At 36.7% G+C, this 19,133-nt stretch overlaps 1 long non-coding RNA gene across 1 annotated transcript in view, besides 1 other annotated feature; it reads left to right on the forward strand.

The window, feature by feature from the left end:
• LINC02008 (long intergenic non-protein coding RNA 2008) overlaps positions 1-19,133 on the forward strand; it is a 477,534-nt gene that overhangs the window by 12,473 nt on the left and 445,928 nt on the right. The window lies entirely within an intron of this gene.
• Positions 2,403-2,452: a silencer, noted in NCBI's record as "silent region_14541". NCBI's record gives its function as "represses an Ori minimal core promoter by ATAC-STARR-seq in GM12878 lymphoblastoid cells {active_cell/tissue: GM12878}" and the evidence as "EXISTENCE:reporter gene assay evidence [ECO:0000049][PMID:35858748]".

Here is a 19,133-nt window from a genome sequence, read left to right on the forward strand (position 1 = left end):
CCAGCCCTTGTTCTGCTCTATGTACTTATTATACACATGCTCATTTAATGTTAAAAATAATGACTTTGTGGATTAAGAATGTGAATGTTGGCATCATTAAGAGCCCTGAATGTAGCTATTTTTATTCTCAATTGAGAGATGAAAAAACTGAACTTGTGTACAAGGAGATATGAACATGAATGTAGACAATTGCTTTGTTTTTAACAGAGGAAAAATTTGTGGAAAGTACCCAAATGTAAGGAGAATAGCCAGGTAAATTGTGGCCTGTATGTCTAATGGAATGCTATAAAACGTCAGTATAAATAAAATACAGCTATACATGTCAATAGAGATAACCCTCAAAAATGTGTAGCCCGTATCTTTGCTATTGTGAATAATGTTGAAATGAGTGATGAAGAGGAGATATCTCTTTGAAAGACTCGTTTCATTTCCTTTGGATATATACCCAGGAGTGTGACTGCTGGATCATATGGTAGTTCTATTTTTAGTCTTTTGAGGAAACTCCACCCTATTTTTCAAAATGGCTGTACTAATTTGCATTCTCACCAACAGTGTCTGAGGGTTCCTTTTTCTCCACATCCTAACCAACACTGTTCCATTTTCATCTTTTTGATAATAGCCATTCTAACAGGTATGAGATGAAATCTCACTGTAGTTTTAATTTGCATTTCCTACGTTAATTAGCTTGATTGAATCTTCCTACAATGTATACATAGATCAAAACATCACATTGTACTCCATAAATATAGTTACTGTCAAGTAAAAATAAATTAATATAAAATTAAAAAGAAACAAACCCCTAAAACTATGATGTTGAATAAAAACTTCTAACAGAAGACTATGATTCTGCTAATATGGAATTCAAAATAGGCAAAGTGAAACAACATATTATTTAGGAACACAAATATATTTGGTAAAAATATAAAGAAGACCAAAAGAATGATATATCATAGCAAATCCTCCGGAATGGAGAGAGAGGGATTTGGGAAAAGACACCCAGAAGAATCAATAGAGTTGTATTTCTTAAGCCGTGTGGGGGATACACAGATGTTGTCTTATTATTGTTTTTAACTACTTATTATATATACCATTCTTTATGCATGATGCCCAGAAAGACAGGAAAATAAGTAAAAGAAGACAAAGTAATTAACTTATAATAATCTAAATTCAGCACCATGTCCTCCATGCTACAACAGCTATGAATGATGTTCAAAATTGTGTTTACTTCCACAAATAAGCAGAAATCTCTGTTAAGACATGAAGAAGAGATACAGACACTGAATTTAAGAAACAATATGCTGTATACGAATGCATATAAGAAACTTTAGATTCCACTTTTAATCCTGGCACTGGCTTGTTCATTCACTTTTAGCACCTTTGTTTTCCTATGCATGAGGTATATTGCATACAGCCCTTCAAACACTTGCAATCCAAATGAGAATTTAAAAGATTTACTACGAAATGCCAAATAACCCTTGCCAACCCCCCTAGATTTAGATAAATAAAATATTATAATACAGACCTAAAGGGGTGAAAAAATTTGTGGCTAATGAAATTGTAAGATTAAATTTCCAGAATGTGTTGCAGTACCATAACCATAATTAGAGCCTCTTGTTTTTGAAAATAATGCAGAAGGCAGGGACAAAGTCTATACACTGTAATTCATTTTAAATTGTGCCCTTTTTGAATTGGTATAAAGTTACAAAATAAGTGTCCTTTGAATGCTACAATAGGAAAACTGTATTTAGGGCAATTTTTATTTTTTCATGTTTATTTAGGAAAAGCACTTGAAATTATTTTAATGGAGGAGAAAATTAAAGATTATTTCAATAGTTTTGGTACACCTATGAACAAGCTTTGAATATTGCTATTGAGCAAAGCAAGGGTGGTAAAATGGCAATTTGCTTTAAGCCAGTTGTTGTGCAAGAGCTTTGGGCTAAGAATCAGCAGACCTGTTCACAAGTTCACCGTGTCACAAATTAACTGTGTAATTCTGCACTTTACTTGAATCATTACTACTAAAAGATTTGAGGGGGGCAGATGGCTCCTAAGGTCCTGTTTGTTCTCATATCATCATCTTTTCTCCAAAACATGCCACACTTAAGACATGATTATCCCATCCCCCATCCCCTGAACTCGTATCTCAGAGGGCCTTGTTGACACCTTGGATTGTGGTCTTTCCTGTTAGGTGCTCTGTGTTATAAATTAGTTGTATGCTTTCCATTATGGTCATGGGCAGGTGTCCTCAGCCCTCTCCTATCGTGATTGGCTGGGAGCCTGGAACCAGAAACTGGCCCATACCTCTGTTCCTACAAAGCTGCTGGGCTGTTTTCACTTTGCAGCTGCTTGACTTGAATGCCAAATTCTCCTAGTGAGTGGTGGCTGACCACCTGGCCAGGGCCATGCAGCCAGCTGCCACTTACAGCTTGAGGCTAAAATATAAGCATTCTAATGCCTAACCTCAGCCCCATCTGAACTCACTTCTCTCAGTTCTTTTTCTCTGTGAGTGTTAATTCAGAGTTGATTCTTCACTCCTTCTTTCCTCATTTGCTTACTTTTTCCCTTCCTTTCTGTAAAGAATACATATTTATAAATTGCCTATGAAGTACTGTGCACTGTGTGTGGATACAGCCTATTATTTATATCTATGTAGATATGTGAGAATTGAAGTTTTGCATGCTTGGAAAAATCAAATAAAATCTCTCAAACACAAAAAAAGAGAGACAGAGAGAGGTACCAAATTCCATTCTCTTTCTATTTCCATAGCTAGCATAATTTCATTTCCCCCATCCTCCTTGGAAGTCACCTGCTCCCAAATGGTGCTTGGTGGATTTAAATGCTATTCAAAAATCCCAGCTGACAGTTGTTAGCTGACTCTGTTCCTGCCATAGCTCAGATCTCTCCCAGGATGTTTTTGTTTTGGTATATAGGCAATGCCGTGTATCCACCAGTTAACCTGATATATTTCTGTTATTCTCTTGGGTGCCTTTTTGCAGCTAAAAACTATTCCCTGTTGTTTCCTAATGAGAATTTTGGTTGAACACGGAGTGGCAATAGCAGGTCAGTCCTTAGGTTTAACCCCCAGTATTTCCTCTTTGTTTTTAAAAGCTTATTGGGCTAAAGCCAAGGTAGCAGTTAGAATCCAGAAGAACTCAGGGGGAAAGGTTTATGAATGCATGGTGAGCTCATATTATCAGTTCCTATTTTAGTGTTTCAAAATCTCCCATGGTGTTTGAAAGCATCTTGATAATTAAAAGAAAATATTGCCTCATAAAAATTTCATCTTCATTTCAAAGTAAAGCATTTTTTAAAAGACTTAGTTTTACAGAACTTGGAGGAACTATGCTTACCTTTCTTCCCTCCCTCCATTCTTTCTTCCTTTCCTTTTTTCTTTCTTTTTCAGTTTTTCTTTTTCTACATGTAATAAAGGTGATTGATAGAAATATAAATGATTAGATCAGAAATGATTAGAAAATTGATTGCTTGATCTGACCTACTTTTTTTCATAATTAGGCAACAGACTCTTCATGTTATTGTCAAATACTCTGCCCTGAACTGATTTGGGCTTTGATATCACAGGTCATAGACTCATCTAAGCCTCTGGAGTGTACACTGGAATGGGGGCCAAAGAGCTTTAACAAATGTGAAATAAATACAATATTTTAACAGAAAAAAATATGCAGCCTCAAATGCTTATCACTACAAATCTCTGATAAGAAGAAACAAATTTGCTAATATATGTATTTGTGTTTGGTGCTTATGACAATGGTATTCATGTGCTTTAATGAGGTAATATATTCAGATGATTTTTTTCATACTTTAAATTCTCACAGTGACATTGACCTGAAATGCCTGGGCCCACTGGAGAAGAACAAAGGGCTTATATAGTATATCCTTTCTAAAGTGATGCTGGGGAAGAATGCAAACATATATTTAGGCCCTGTGGTCTCATTTCGCTTAATAAGAGAGCATTACCACAGCCAAAAACACTGCTTGGTGACATAATGGGCAAGGGCCTGACATGCCCACACAAACGGGCATCAAGGGGCTATTTCAGATTCTTGATTTCTTGCCAAATAGTGAATAATCTTAAAATCAAATGTGCAGCAATAATAGGCCCAGCTGGGAGGATTAAGAAATAAGTATCTATTGAGCTGCCTGATCTCTTTGTTCTTTAGGTTTAGAGTAGGATAAATGAAAAAGGGGAGGCCAAGAGGGAGTGGTTTAATATAGAATAAATTGTCTAAAAGGGATCAGTGAAAGCAGGATTATTGATGAGTTAGGGAGTGAGCTAGCTGACTTTTTATTTTCAGACTAAGACAGGATAGAGATATGGGGATAAACTAGGAAATCAGATAAGAAAAACAAAGGATGCAGGCGTATTTGCCTTAAGTAGTCTTTTTCTGTTTCTGAGATTTCTTATGTTCTTGTGCTCTGAGCCAAGATCAGTTGAGATTAATCAGTTGTATAGAAAGCATTGTGATCACATTGCAGGCTTTTAAAGTTTAAATTTGTTTATTGAGCACAATTTGGTTAGCATCAGGTGCTGAAGTTATAGACACCAACACTAGCATAGAAATTACTTTATTTAGCTCCCAGTTGTAAGTTTCTATAGCAACTGGGGCCTGTACCAGAAAGCTGAGATTCTTGTGCTCAAATGATTCAGGCAGAGATGGCAATATCATATTTAGGGGGGCACTTGCTTCTTTTTTCCAAATTTTTTTCTGTCTTGTGAGAAGCCTCTTTAATGTGATTCTATCTGCTTAGTCATACTTTTAATTACACCTCTGCTTTGAACCCTCTCCTCTTGGCAGCAGTATAAAGTATCTATTTTGGTTGTGTTTCGATTTCCATTGACTAGTTAGTATATTGATGCAGAGGAAATGAATGTGATCTGTTTTAAATACAGTTGAAAATTCTGAATAGTGAAGAAAGTGTCCATGGTGACAAATGCAGTTAACCAATCCAGGAAGAAATTGGGATGTTAATTCAAAAAGGAAACCTAATTTAATTTCTACATTATGCTTTCATTCTGACCATAAATGCAATGTCATGATAATTTTAAATATGGGGGATGTCCCTTATGAAGTTCTCTTTTTAAGTTTTTAAGTAAGTGATTTTATTTTTGTTTTATAAATGAATGTTTTTATTGTAACAAATAGGACTTTTTTGGAGTGGCTTGTTATGGTCGAAGTAATATTTTATGATGCTAGTTTAGCCAATACTGGAGAAAGGCTTAGGAAAAAATAATTACATCCTGGCTCCAATTATGAAAATAATCTCTACATTAAAAATATATAAATATAGTAGATTTTTTGCTGCCTGTGCTTTGGAATGGCTGTAATGCAGGCATCTATCTATCTATCGTGTATATATATATATATAGCTATATAGATCTGTATATGTGTATATCTGTATATCTATATATAGATATACAGATTTCTAGAAAAAATGAATATCAAATAAAATAAACATACTGGAAATACATGTTTTAAATAATATTGTCTTTTTGATGAAACTCCACATTTTACAAGAACTGGCTTTTGATATTTGAAATAATCATGAACTGAGTAGTTTAAAGACTATTTAGTAGAAGATTGCTTATGGTATAATGTATGGCATAGTCTTTTAGTTTGGCAAATGACAAGAATAAACCATAAAAGCAAGGATTCTATTTGTGCCCTAATAAAACAAAAGAAAACAAAGGATTTCCATTTAGTGTTCACATTTACTGCTAACTTGAGGCCTATTAACATTTGGAAAACACAAATTCTAAAGGCAGCTGCCAGCAATTGGCCAATTATAATTTCACGATTGAAAGAGAAAATCTTATTTCACTATGAAATTCTGTACTTGTTTTCTCCTTTCATGAATTACCCCACAGCCAAAGCACGATGTGTGTGAGAGGAAGGAGAAAATAGACTCACTCCTGGTTGTCTGCAGAAATGTATCACCTCAGATGACCTTGATTCTCTTTGCATTCAGTAGGAGATTTTCTTTTACTAATTTTACAACAGATTTAATTGTAATAAAATTAATTCAGATTGTGATTATCTGTCTCTATTTGTACTCAGTTTCTATGAGGAATCTTAAAATATCATCAGTTCCATAGTTGAGTGTCTGTGTGTCATTATTGCAGTATGTCTATTATATCATGATATATCTGAAGTCACGTAAGACCAATTTTGCTCTTTCAGGCAAGCAGTTTTCCAGATCTCTGTTAGAACTCTGAATAGATAATTGCTCCTTTAACAAAACATGCATAGACAAAACATTTGATGAATAAAGAGCAGTTATTAACCTACACTCACATTTGTGAATATCAGGGTTTAGAACTATTACAAAATGGATTCTGCCATGAGTCAGTTTTGTTTTTCCTTTTCAAATATATCCGTTACATATTTTTTTTTCCTTCAGGTAACTTACAGTAATATTGCTTAATTTAAAATGTACCAGCTCTCCTAATGTAGCAACTTGATTAAAAAGAATTAAATGTTTACTCAAAATCATAGTCAAATAGAATGTAGAACTTGAAAATAGTAAGTTGAATTTCTCAGTATTTTATTGCAGAAATGAAAATAGTAATTATTGGAGGAGATAAGTGATTTATACAATTTGGTTTTGTTAGCTAAATCAAAACAGGCTTACTTAAACATGTATTTGAATCATAAATTGGTTTTTGTAGTCACAAACCAATTATACTGGATTCTTATTAATTATTTGTTGGTAACAGTAAACAATCAATAGATTAGAGTGTCAAAAGCATTTGGTGGGGGGAGGGGTGTTACGTGCAGAAACATTCACCTAGACCATCTGAGGCTCCTCTCTTTAGAAAGCTCATTTGCAAGATTTGACCACTGACTGATACCTGGGAACTTGGCTTCTGAAGCACTCCCTTAACTGGTAAGGTAATTTCTCTGGGCCTAGACATTCGTATAAACAGTGGAATTTATTGTAATGTCTGCTTTCTTTTTGTAAGTCTGGAATTCTGGTAGTTGCTAGGCAAAAGCGTCTATGTTCCCAGCCCCTAGTAAAACTCCTAAACTCTGAGTTTTAAATGGGCTTCAGTTGGCAGAAAAATTCACACTTGATGCTATATTTTTTTTGTTTGTTTGTTTTCTAGAGGGACAGTGTGCTCTGTGTGAGCTGTCAGGTTGGGGAAAGGTGATAGGAAACTTTCCATGGATTCTTCCTTGTCTTTACCTGATGTTGTTTTCCCTGTCTAACCCAGCTCTTAATCTTTACTATGTCTATATAAGAAATATTAGTGTTTAGTGGAACTATGTGCCTGAGCCCTGTGAGTCCTTCCAGTGAATCACCAAATATGTAGGTGGTGTTGGGGACCCTTGAGTCAGAGTGTGTCTATTCTGGCTGATTTCAACAATGTGTGAGTTTAAAAGAAAACCAAAACTGAGCCATGGCATGGATTGAACATATGGGAATAAATACCTGCAGAGTAGATTAGCATTTTGGCAAATGTGCCATAATGAATATGCTTGCTGTCTACCAAATTCTCATTAAAATACAAATACTTAAGGTAATATAAAAGCTGATGTCAGTTGTGAAAACAAAACGAAAAAGGAGATGCTATGGCAAAGTTTGGCATAATTTATGTTAACTGAACTATTGCCAGCTTTTGCTTTAAGTATGTTTATTAAATTCTAGTGGAATCTGAGCTTCTGTTTTGATGGCTTCTTATCCAAATTAAGAAACTATACAGGAGACTCCAGAATAAGAATGAGCTTGTAGGAAACCTGATGTACTAAGCTTGTGTTGGGTGGAAGTAAAACAAAAATCACTCTTGAAAGCTTATAAACACAAAGCCTACACTCACACTAGTGTGAGGACTGAACTCACACCACTAGTGTGGTCTGAAATAATACCTGATCAAAGAATTCAATTTAAAGTGACTCTGGATTGGTAGTGGCCACAGTAGTTGGCAGAAACACACAGTTCTTTCTGGAAAATTGTATTTCCAAAGCAGGCCTCTAAGAAGTTCTACTTATTGCTTGAGTTCTAAAGAACACAATATCATAGCCAAAAATACAAAACACATAAAATGCATGAAACCATGAGCAAGGGCCAGCAGAACAAACAAATAAACATACAATAAAGTCAGTGAAAACCAAATGAAACAGACCTATAAAAGTTACCCACAAAAATGTCTCTGGAAACTAGTGTTTTAATAGGCAAACTCTTTCAAATGATTAAAGAAACATAATTCTTAAACTATATGATCTTATCCAGATCTTGGAGAGGAAAAAAAAGAGCTTTCCATTTTATCTATGAAGCTAGCATGATCCTCATATCAAAGTTTGACAGGGCACAGAAATATAAATTATAGACTAAATCCGCTTTACATCCTGGATATGAATATCTTAATAAAATATCAAGAAAACAAATTAAAGGTTAGATTTTAAAATCGTTTGGCTTCTTTTGAGAAGTGTCTGTTCATGTCCTTTGCCCATTTTTTAATGGGCTTGTTTTTTCTCTTGTAAATTTAAGTTCCTTATAGATGCTGAATATCAGACCTTTGTCAGATGCATAGTTTGCTACTATTTTCCCCCATTCTGTAGGTTGTGTGTTTACTCTGCTGATAGTTTCTTTTGCTGTGCAGAAGCCCTTTAGTTTTATTAGATCTCATTTGTCAATTTTTACTTTTGTTGCAGTTGCTTTTGGCATCTTCATCGTGAAATCTTTGCCCCTTTCTATGTCTAAAATGGCATTGCCTAGGTTGTCTTCCAGGGTTTTTATAGTTTTGGGTTTTGCACTTAAATATTTGATCCATCTTGAGTTGACTTTTATATCTGGTGTAAGGGAGAGGTCCAGTTTCAGTCTTCTGCACATGGCTAGCCAGTTATCTCAGCACCACTTATTGAATAGGGAGTCCTTTCTCTATTGCTTGTTTCTGTTAGATTTGTTGAAGATCAGATGGTTGTAGGTGTGTGGTCTTCTTTCTGGGCTTTCTATTCTGTTCCATTGGTCTATGTTTTTGTTTTATCACCAGGACCATGCTGTTTTGGTTACTGTAGCTCTGTAGTATAGTTTGAAGCCAGGTAACATGATGCCTCAAGTTTTGTTATTTTTGCTTAGGATTACCTTGGCTATTCAGGCTCTTTTTTAGTTCCATATGAATTTTAAAATAGTTCTTTTCTAGTTCTGTGCAGAATGCCATTGGTAGTTTGATAAGAATGGCATTGAATCTGTAAATTGCTTTGGGCATATGGCCATTTTAGCTATACTGAGTCTTCCTATCCATGAGCATGGAATGTTTTTCCATTTGTTTGTGTCATATCTGATGTTTTTGAGCAATATTTTATAATTCTCATCATAGGGATCTTTCACCTCCCTGGCTAATTGTATTCCTAGATATTTTATTCTTTTTATTGAGATGTTTTACTGTAAAGAGAAGAAGATAAATGAAGCAATAGCAAGAGGAAAATTGATTAGGATAATTTTTATTTATTTATTTATTTTTTCTGAGACGGAATCTTGCTGTGTCGCCCAGGCTGGACTGCAGTAGTGCGATCTCGGCTCACTGCAACTCCACCTCTCAGGTTTAAGCGATTCTCCTGCCTCAGCCTCTGGAGTAGCTGGGATTACAGGCGCGATCACCATGCCTGGCTAATTTTTGTATTTTTAATAGAGATGGGGTTTCACCATATTGGCCAGGCAGGTCTTGAATTCCTGTCCTCGTGATCCGCCCCCCTCAGGCTCCCACAGTGCTGGGATTACAGGCATGAGCCACCACACCCAGCCTGATAATTTTTATTTTTTAAAAAAGAAGAGATAAAAGCAACATGCATATTAGTTGATTGGTTGATCTGGAGAGGGAAAATTTAATAATCAGGAGAGGGAACATCCTTGGAGCAATGTCCTTGGGTAGACAAGAGTATGCAATATAGTGTGAAAGTGGATGGTTGGGCTTAAACAGTGATATTTAATTATAACATGAGGGAGGGCAGATAGATTTGGTGTCTTGCAGAAGCTGTCTTCTACTCACTTAACTTTCTCAATGAAAAACAATGTTGTTCTGAGAATGAAGATGGAGAAGGAGTACTTAGAAGAGTCAGGAGTATCTAGGAGAATCAAGAATGAATGAGCTACAGAAATGTGTTCTGATTTCCAAGAAGCAAGAGAAGACCTCTTGATATTTGTAGTAATGTATTTAAAATGAGATCGACTGGTACAGTTGTGCATTTTTCTTGAACCACAGTCAGTTGCACAAGTGAGTGCAGAATAGGCAGAGTGTTGAGGTTTCAATAAATACACATCATACACTAAGAGTCAAGAAATCTGAGAGTGTAAGCACAGAATTGTTAATTTAAGGTATATCAATATGGGTTATCCAAATATCAATGCTATAGTAACATCCTGAAACAAAACAAGCACAAAGGTATAAATGCCTAAACTGGAGGAAACTTGAAACTCTCATGTTAAATCTTCAATGTGGTATTTCTAACTTGTGAAGACAGATTGGTAGGCAGCCATTTTTTTGCGTTCTTAAAATAAATGGGGGCATAGTTAAAATTTTGTACATCAAGTGATTGCTCTTATTGAATGTTGCAGGTCAGATGTGGTTATTTTTAGTTTATTTGAAATATTGGACTGGAAAGTGGGGAGGGGGAAGCAAATATTTGAGATCTGGAAAACCCTAAACCTTTTGGTAAGAAATTGTAATTTTCACTTAAATTTTCTTTAAGGATGTAAGAGGTTTATAATTGATGCAGTTAAATTGAACAATAACCATTGATGACTATGGAACGTAATTATAGCCTGCAGAAAAGTTATAATCTAAGAATTGAAAAAATAAGATCCTGAAGTTGTTTAATTGCATCAGTTTTTGTATTTATGTGAATTTATAAACTGCAGTAAGTTTTGAATGAGGTTAATCTTGTTTAATATAAGTAAATGAGTCTGTAGACTGTGATCTCCCCAAACTAAAAATTACAGTACTTGGAATTGTGTTCTTTATGGTTGTAGTGTTGGTAAAGCACTAATATGCCGAAAATAAAGGAATTACACAGTGGAAAAAATAAAAATAAAAAATAAAAATAATCGTCTTTGTTTATTAGGATTTCGTAGTGGAAATATCTGGGTAAAGTAATAATAAAAAGCTTGAGCTGAGTGAGAGACAGTGCAAATGAGGCAGAAATAATGCATTGTAGATCCTGGTGGAATCAAAGTGTTGGGATAATGGAGATAAAGAGTTGGAAATTTAGGAAGTAACATTCAAACAGTGGGATTCTTTTTTTTTAAAGACAGTCACACTTTGTCACCCAGGCTGGAGTGCAATGGCACAATCTTGGCTCACTGCAACCTCCATCTCCCTGGTTCAAGCGATTCTCCTGCCTCAGCCTTCCAAGTAGCCGGGGCTAGAGGTGCGCACCACCAAGCCTGGCTCATTTTTGTATTTTTAGTAGAGAAGGGATTCACCGTGTTGGCCAGACTGGTCTTGAACTCCTGACCTCAAGTGATCCATCTGCTGTGGCTTCCCAAAGCGCTGGGATTACAGGCATGAGCCATCGCACCCAGCCTCAAAGAGTGGGATTCTTGAAACTGAGATTTTAGAAGGTTGTAGTGATCAGTAACAAATGCAAAGGTATGACTAGGAGAGTGAGTGGTTTATATGTCACGAAGTATAAGATCTTTCAAAAGGAATCAAAAGACTAGGGTATTGGAAGCATCACCTATGTGAATATTAAAATCACCACAAATGAAGATAGCAAATAGAGTTAGAGAATGTTAAGACTGTCCGCAAATGAGGGGGTCAATAGATAACTCTAACAAGGATGTAAAGTCTACATATCCAGGAATTTTTAAGGACAAAAGTAGAGCATGAAAATGACAATGAAGGATAAAGATGATACCTACCCCATCTTCAGTCCCTGTGCTAGGAAGGCTGTGGGGTGGGGGGGGGGGGAGCGGGAAACAGCTACCACTAGAGAGGGCTGTAGAGAGCAGTCTGTTCAATGGAGATCTTGGTTGTCGTTGTAGGAATAAGGGGTAAGAAATGTTCAGAGAACATATTAAGAGTATTGAGAATTTTGCCGTGGATGTGTGGTGGGTTCCAGAAGGTATAGTGGGGAGGTTTTAGAAATGAGGGTGGTGAGAGTCAGTTCTAGGATAGGAGTTGTATAGAGCTACATGGAGAGCAGAAGGTAGGAGACTGAGGGTAATCTGAGAGTCTTCTTCAGAGGCAAACAAACAAGAAAAAATGGCATGATGGCATTAGTACTGGTAGTCTTAAGACAAACATTCATGGCAAAACCATGAGGAAGGAAGGAGCAGTAGGGAAGGGTAAATGTGGACCCTTTTCCACTCTTCAGAGGAAGCATAAAAGACAAAGTAGAGTTAGTGCTATTTTGATAATCTCGATTCTCTGTTGACTTGGCAGATGGAGGCTGATAGGTCTGAGGAGCATGACAGGCCTCTCAGTGTTTCAGTGTTCAAGGCTCATTCTTGACACCCTGGGGTTGGTGGTGGTCTTCCTCTAAGCATGAAAATCCTATTCTTGATACAGCTACAGTCCATTTAATACAAATGGACAAGGCAACAGACAAAAAAACTAACAGAACATAAAAGTTTATCTTGAACCTAACTTCAATTTTATTTGTAAGATAAGATTGTAAGATTGACTATATGTGCATATATATATATCTATATCTATGCCTATAAATAAATGGAATGAAATGTAGCAAACAAAATACTAAAAATGATAGTGCTGGGGGTGAGATGATAGGTGATGTGTCCACTTTTGTTTAGTCTCTTAAATTTCTTAAGATAAACACCCATAGTCAGAAGAACGCCTTTTATTTAAGAAAAAAATGTTATTTTTAAAAATACTTTTTGTTGTTTATAGGGTTCTACATTTACAAATGCGTGCTGAACTGATTATGACATTTGACTGTTTGTTATGGATGTTGCTTAATTCTGAGAATACAGACTATATTTCTCAATAGTAACAATAACTTTTAAGCAATTTCTAAACAAATAAAGAGTTACTCATTTTTTGAAGGAAAACAAAGGATAGGTACTGTTCTCACAGCTGTTTTTTAGTTAAAATTATAGAATATGTAATTTAACTAGAAGACAGTCATTTCAAATATACTTAAGTAGTTCAAATAATTACACGGAGACAATGCAGATATTTCTCTGTTAGATAAACATATACTATTAGAAAACAGGATGATTTAAGGAAAATTCACAAATCTTTGTTAAAAAATTTAAATCAGTATTTTAATAACTGAGAAGGATTTTATGTGAAACAAGTAGCCTTTCTGAAATAAGCAATCAAAATAATTCATTAAAGCAGTAATCACTAGTAAGCTTGGCTGTTGTTCTACTTGATATGTAAACAAAATTGGTAAACATTGTTGAAATAACACCTCAGGTACTTCAACTTTCTTTATTACTGAGGAAAAAATAGCAGTTCATTATCACTCTGAATTTTAATTTTTTCCCACTGGAATACAGAAAGGAAGATTCAACCAAATAAATAGTTGATAAGACCATTAATGAGAACTAAATAATTTTTCAGCCTAGATATAAGCAGGACCAACTAAACTTAGTAATCAAGGCAAACTTTTGAAAGTATTAAAGATTAATTGAACAAATTCACAGTTGTTATAGGTTTACATGACTTATCAGTGTATTTAAGAACATAATTTGTGTGGAATAAAGAGGATTAACAAATTGATGTCAGATTTGCTTCTCTATCCTTTCACCTCTGTGCTTACTTTCCTCTCTCCCATACTCTTCATTCCCTGTTATATTTTTCTTGCAAAGTTAAAATTTACATTTTAGGGAGGAAAGCATTTATCTACTGCATGCACTTTTGACCTTGCCTCCCTCTCTTATTGGAAAACCCTTGTATCTCTTTGGCTGTATTATTTTTTCAAGATTGACTTTCTTCCTTTGTAAGGCTATACTTATCTGAGATGGTAGTCAGTCTGAACTTGTTTTAATGTACTTTTATGTATAAGCTTTATGTACTTTTATGAACTTTTAAAGTATGTGTTATATTTACATGTATATTACCGTAATCTAATAGTTTGTTTTCTACTTTATGAGAGTGTCAAAGGAAGGAAGAATCACTGATGTTTCATGTATAGATAAAATTGGAGACTAAAAGCAGGTTTGGAAGAGAGTTAGAAGCCTAAGAGAATCATTTTGATAACTTTCTACTGCTAACTAATAAGGAGATAAAGTGAGACCTAATTTTTGGAGATCTGAGTATAAAAATTCAGGTGTTTTAGAATCTAAGCAAAAACTTTGCTAGAAAAGTGCCACTCATTGAAGTGTTGCAGATCTATGATATGACATTCATTCCCATTTAATTTATTTATCTTTTGCCACTAGTTGGCAGTATGACTGAATTACAGTTTGATATTCTGCCACCATATAAGTGCCCAGAGTATTCACTAATATTGACCATGTTTGGGAGTTCAGATATTAGCTGTCTGGAGTTAGGGTGAGATGCCATTAGGATGTCTCTTTGATATCTGAGACCTGTCACTTAAACTTCCAAGTAAAATATGTAAGTGATTCTCAGTCACACTTTTTAAAGTAATACCAGACTTACAAAGTGACAGAATGGGCTGGACTGCATATTACTTTGATTTAGAATTTAAACAAGTTTCTGCTGGAGGTCCCAGAAGATGTCCATGTTGGGGTTTCTAATCTAAGAACAGAAAGACAAGTTATGTAAGTTTGAGACTTAGGGCAGGGACAGAGAAATCATTTTTAGTGGAAAGGGAGAATGGGATGAGGTTGGAACTAAGAATGTAGCTATTCACAGTCATTTATGCCAAGCAACTTGCTTAGGTTCAAAGCCAAAGTATCAGGAGCAGGGATAATATAGTTTGAATATTTGTCTCCACCTAACTGTCATGTTAAAATGTAACTCCAAGTGTTGAAGGTGAGGCCTAGTGGGAGGTGTTTGCATCGAGGGGCAGATCCCTCATGAGTGAGTTGGGCCATCCCTATGGTGATAAGTAAGCTCTTCCTCTGAATTCAAATGAGATCTGATCATTTAGAAGGTGTGACACTTTCCTCCCACTCTCTCTTGCTCCCACTTTTGCCATATGATGTGCCTGTTCTCCCTTTGCCTTCCACCGTTATTGTAACTTTTGTGAAGCCCTCATCAGAAGCCGAGCAGATGCTGGTGCCATGCTTGTACAGCCTGCAGAACCGTGAGCCAATTACACTTCTTTTCTTATAAATTACCCAGTCTCAGGTATTTCTTTATAGCAATGCAAGAACAGCCTAATACAGGAAATTGGTACCAGGAATGATGTATTGGTATAAATAAATATACCTGAAAATGTGGGAGCGGTTTTGGAGCTGGGTAATGGGCAGAGGTTGGAAGAGTGTGGAGAACTCAGAAGAAGGTAGGAAAATGAGGTAAAGTTTGCAACTTCTTACAGACTGGTTAAATGATTGTGAGCACAATGATGACAGAGATATGGACAGTAAAATCCAGGCCAGTGAGGTCTCAGATGGAAATGAGGAAGTTTTGGGAAATGGAGCAAAAGTCACTTTTGTTAGGCCTTAGCAAAGAACTTGGCTGCATGTTGCTCATGCCCTAGGGATCTGTGGAAGTTTGAACTTTGGATTGATGACTTAGGGTATCTAGTAGAAGAAATTTCTAAGCACCAAAGTGTTCAAAAATTTTCCTGGCTGCTTCTGACAGCCTATGCTCAGATGTGGGGGCAAAGGAATAACTTAATGTTGGAACTGATTTTAAAAGGGTAGCAGAGCATAAAATGGCAAATTTGCAGCCTGGCTATGTGGCAGAGAAAGAAAACGTTTTTATTTGGCACAGGAATTCAAGAAGGATGTGAAGTAACCACTTGCTAGAGATATTTGCATAACTAAAAAGGAGCCAAGTGCTAATAACTAAGACAATGGGGAAAAGGCTTCAATGGCATTTCCAAGACCTTCGCAGCATATCCTCCTGTAACAGGTCCAGGGGCCCAGGAGGACTGAATTATTTTGAGGGCCAGGGCCCTGCTGCCCTAAGCAGCCTCAAGACACTGCTCCCAGCATCCAGGCTGCTCTAGCTCCTGCCGTGGCTCAAAGGGGCCCAGGTACAACTTAGGCTTTCATTTTGGAGAATGTAAGTCACAAGTCTTGGCAGCTTCCATGTGGTGGTAAGCACATAGGTGCACAGAATGCAAGAATAAAGAAAGCTTGGCAGCCTCTGCCTAGATTTCAGAAGGTGTATAAGATTTCTTATACACCCTTGCTTGGGTGTCCGGGTAGAAGCCCATTGCAGGGGAGGAGCCTTCAGAGAGAACTTCTGCTAGGGCAGTGTGGAGGGGCAATGTGGTGTGGAACCCCTACACAAAGTCCCCACCAGGGGACTGCCTAATGAAGCTGTGAGAAGGGAGCCACCATCCTCCAGACCCCAGAATAGTAGATCCACTGGTAGCTTTTACCCTGCACCTGGAAAAGCCACAGGCACTCAATAACCTGAGAGAGTAGTTTTGAGCAATGAATGCTACAAAGCCACAGAGGCAAAGCTGACGAAGGCCTTGGAAGCTCACTCCTTGTACCACTGTGCCCTGGATGTGGGACATGGAGTCAAAAGAGGTTATTTTGGAGATTTAAGATTTAATGTCTGCCCTGTTGGGTTGTGAACTTGCATGTGGCCTGTAGTCAGTTTCTTTTGGCTGATTTCTCCCTTTTGGAACAGGATTGTTTACCCAATGCCTGTACACCCATTGTATCTTGGAACTAAATAACTTTTTTTTTTTTTGTAAATTTTCAGGCTGATATGGTTTGGCTGGGTCCCCATCCAGACCTCAACTTGAATTCCCATGTGTTGTGGGAGGGACCCAGTGGGAGGTAATTGAATCATGGGCGCAGGTCTTTCCCATGTGGTTCTTGTGATAATGAGTAAGTCTCACAAGATTTGATGGTTATTATAAGAGAGAGTTTTCCTGCACAAGCTCTTTTTGCTTGCTGTCATCCAAGTAAGACATGACTTGCACCTGCTTGCCTTCTGCCATGATTGTGATGCTTCCCCAGCTACTTGGAACTGTAAGTCCAATTAAACCTCTTTCTTTTGTAAATTTCCCAGTCTTGAGTATGTCTTTATCAGTAGCATGCAAACAGGCTAATACACAAGCTTATAGGTGGAAGGGACTTGCCTTGTGAGATGAGACTTTGGTCTATAAACTTCTGAGTTAATGCTGGAATGAGTTAAGACTCTGGGGGATTATTAGGAAGACATGATTGTATTTTGAAATGTGAGAAGGACATGAGATTGGTTGGGGTGACTGTCAGCGGCAGAATGATATAATTTGGATATTTGTCCCCACCCAAATCTCCTGTTGAAATGTGATTCCTGGTGTTAGAGGTGGGGACTGGTGGGAGGTATTTGCAGGATGGTGGTGGATTCCTCTTGAATGCCGTGGGCCATCCCCTTGGTGATAAGTGAGCTCTTGTGCTGAGTTCATATGAGATCTGATAATTTTAAAGTGTGTGGCACCTCCCAGCCACTCTCTCTTTCTTGCTTCTCCTTTTGCCATGTGGTGTGCCTGCTCCCCGTTTGCTTTCTGCCATGATTATAAGCTTTGTGAAGCCCTCATCAGAAGCTGAGCAAATGCTGGTATGGCCTGCAGAGCCATGAGCCAATTAAACCTGTTTTTAAATAATTACTGACTCTCAGTCTTTATAGCAATGCAAGAATGGTCTAATACAAGGGATATTAGCTCAGGGATCTGGAGAAACTAAAGGTATATACCAGGTATACAATGGCAGGAACACAAGTACTGGTAAATCATTGAACTAAAAAAAAAATACATTTTAAAGTGGGCATGACCCCCAGCTATAAGAGTGACTGGACCCAAAGGTCACCAATAAATAGAGCGCAGGGAGAATATAAAGAAGTGTTAGAATATGTATTAAGTGAATGATGCTGACTAGTTTAATCTACTAGAAATTTAAAAATTAAGAAGTATACTTTTGAACAAAGATCTAAATCAACATAAGGATCACAACATAACAATTTATTTTTAATTCCAGATTTATGATCAGATGACCCCTGGGGCATTGCTTCCTCTAGCTATGGTTTGCATGGCAGACTTGTCAGTAATCACTATTTTCCTTTCTGCAAATTGAGTAGATTTTCAAAGATTGTCTAAATAGGCAGACACCTTCAGCTACAATAATTGATACTGCAAGATCTTTCTTCCTCTTTAAAAAGTTGATGTTAGTGTAAAATAAATTTGTAAAAATTCACTTGCTACCTTCCTTTAAATCCATTATTCCATGATTTGTACATAAAATTAGATTAGGAATAATAACAAAAACTATCACTGTGACACATAAACACTGTGAGATCTCTGGTGAACACTCTTCCATCTCATTAAAAGTGAACCAGTAAGTTTTTTTTTGATAATTCTTTCGTTTATCTGATAGAAATGATAAGCCATCACTTTATTTGTGGTAATGATGTCATTTATTCATTCGTTTAATGAATGTATGGATAAAAAAAGTCATGCAGGTTCTAGTGGTGCCCAAATAAAGGGCACAATTCCATTCTGAGTGGAATTGGCAGGCTATGGATGAGGAGAGTTTCTGAGATGCATTTTGAATAATAAAGGGATGAAAATTAAATGAAACAAGAGAATGACAAGAGCATGAGCAAAGGCAGTGAGGTAAGCCAGCATGGTGTGTCCAGAGAAGTGTGAGTAGCTTGGTGTTGCTGGAGCATCAGATTCAAGGCATCTGATGTGGAAAATGAGGCTGTGAGAAGCAGGGGCACTGAGGGCAGGAGATCAGTGTTTTAGCTCATGCAGTCAAGCAAAGAGTGAATTCAATCTGTCTCTACTGCCTTTTTGTTCTATTTAGGCCCTCAATGGATTGGATGATGCCCACCTACATTGGCGAGAGCCATCTGCTTACTCAGTCCACCAATCCAAATGTTAATATCTTTCAGAAACATCCTTATAGATACACACAGAAGTAATGTTTAAACAACTATTTGGGCATCCCTTGGCTCAGTCAAGTTGACACAAAATTAACCGTAACACTAGTAATGTGCATTTAAGTTTCTCCCTTCCTTTTAGTGCAGGATAGTATCTATTGTCTGGATGTACCATATTTTATGTATCCATTTACCT

This window comes from Homo sapiens, chromosome 3 (assembly GCF_000001405.40).
Source record: "Homo sapiens chromosome 3, GRCh38.p14 Primary Assembly".
In the NCBI taxonomy this organism is placed as follows: domain Eukaryota; kingdom Metazoa; phylum Chordata; class Mammalia; order Primates; family Hominidae; genus Homo; species Homo sapiens.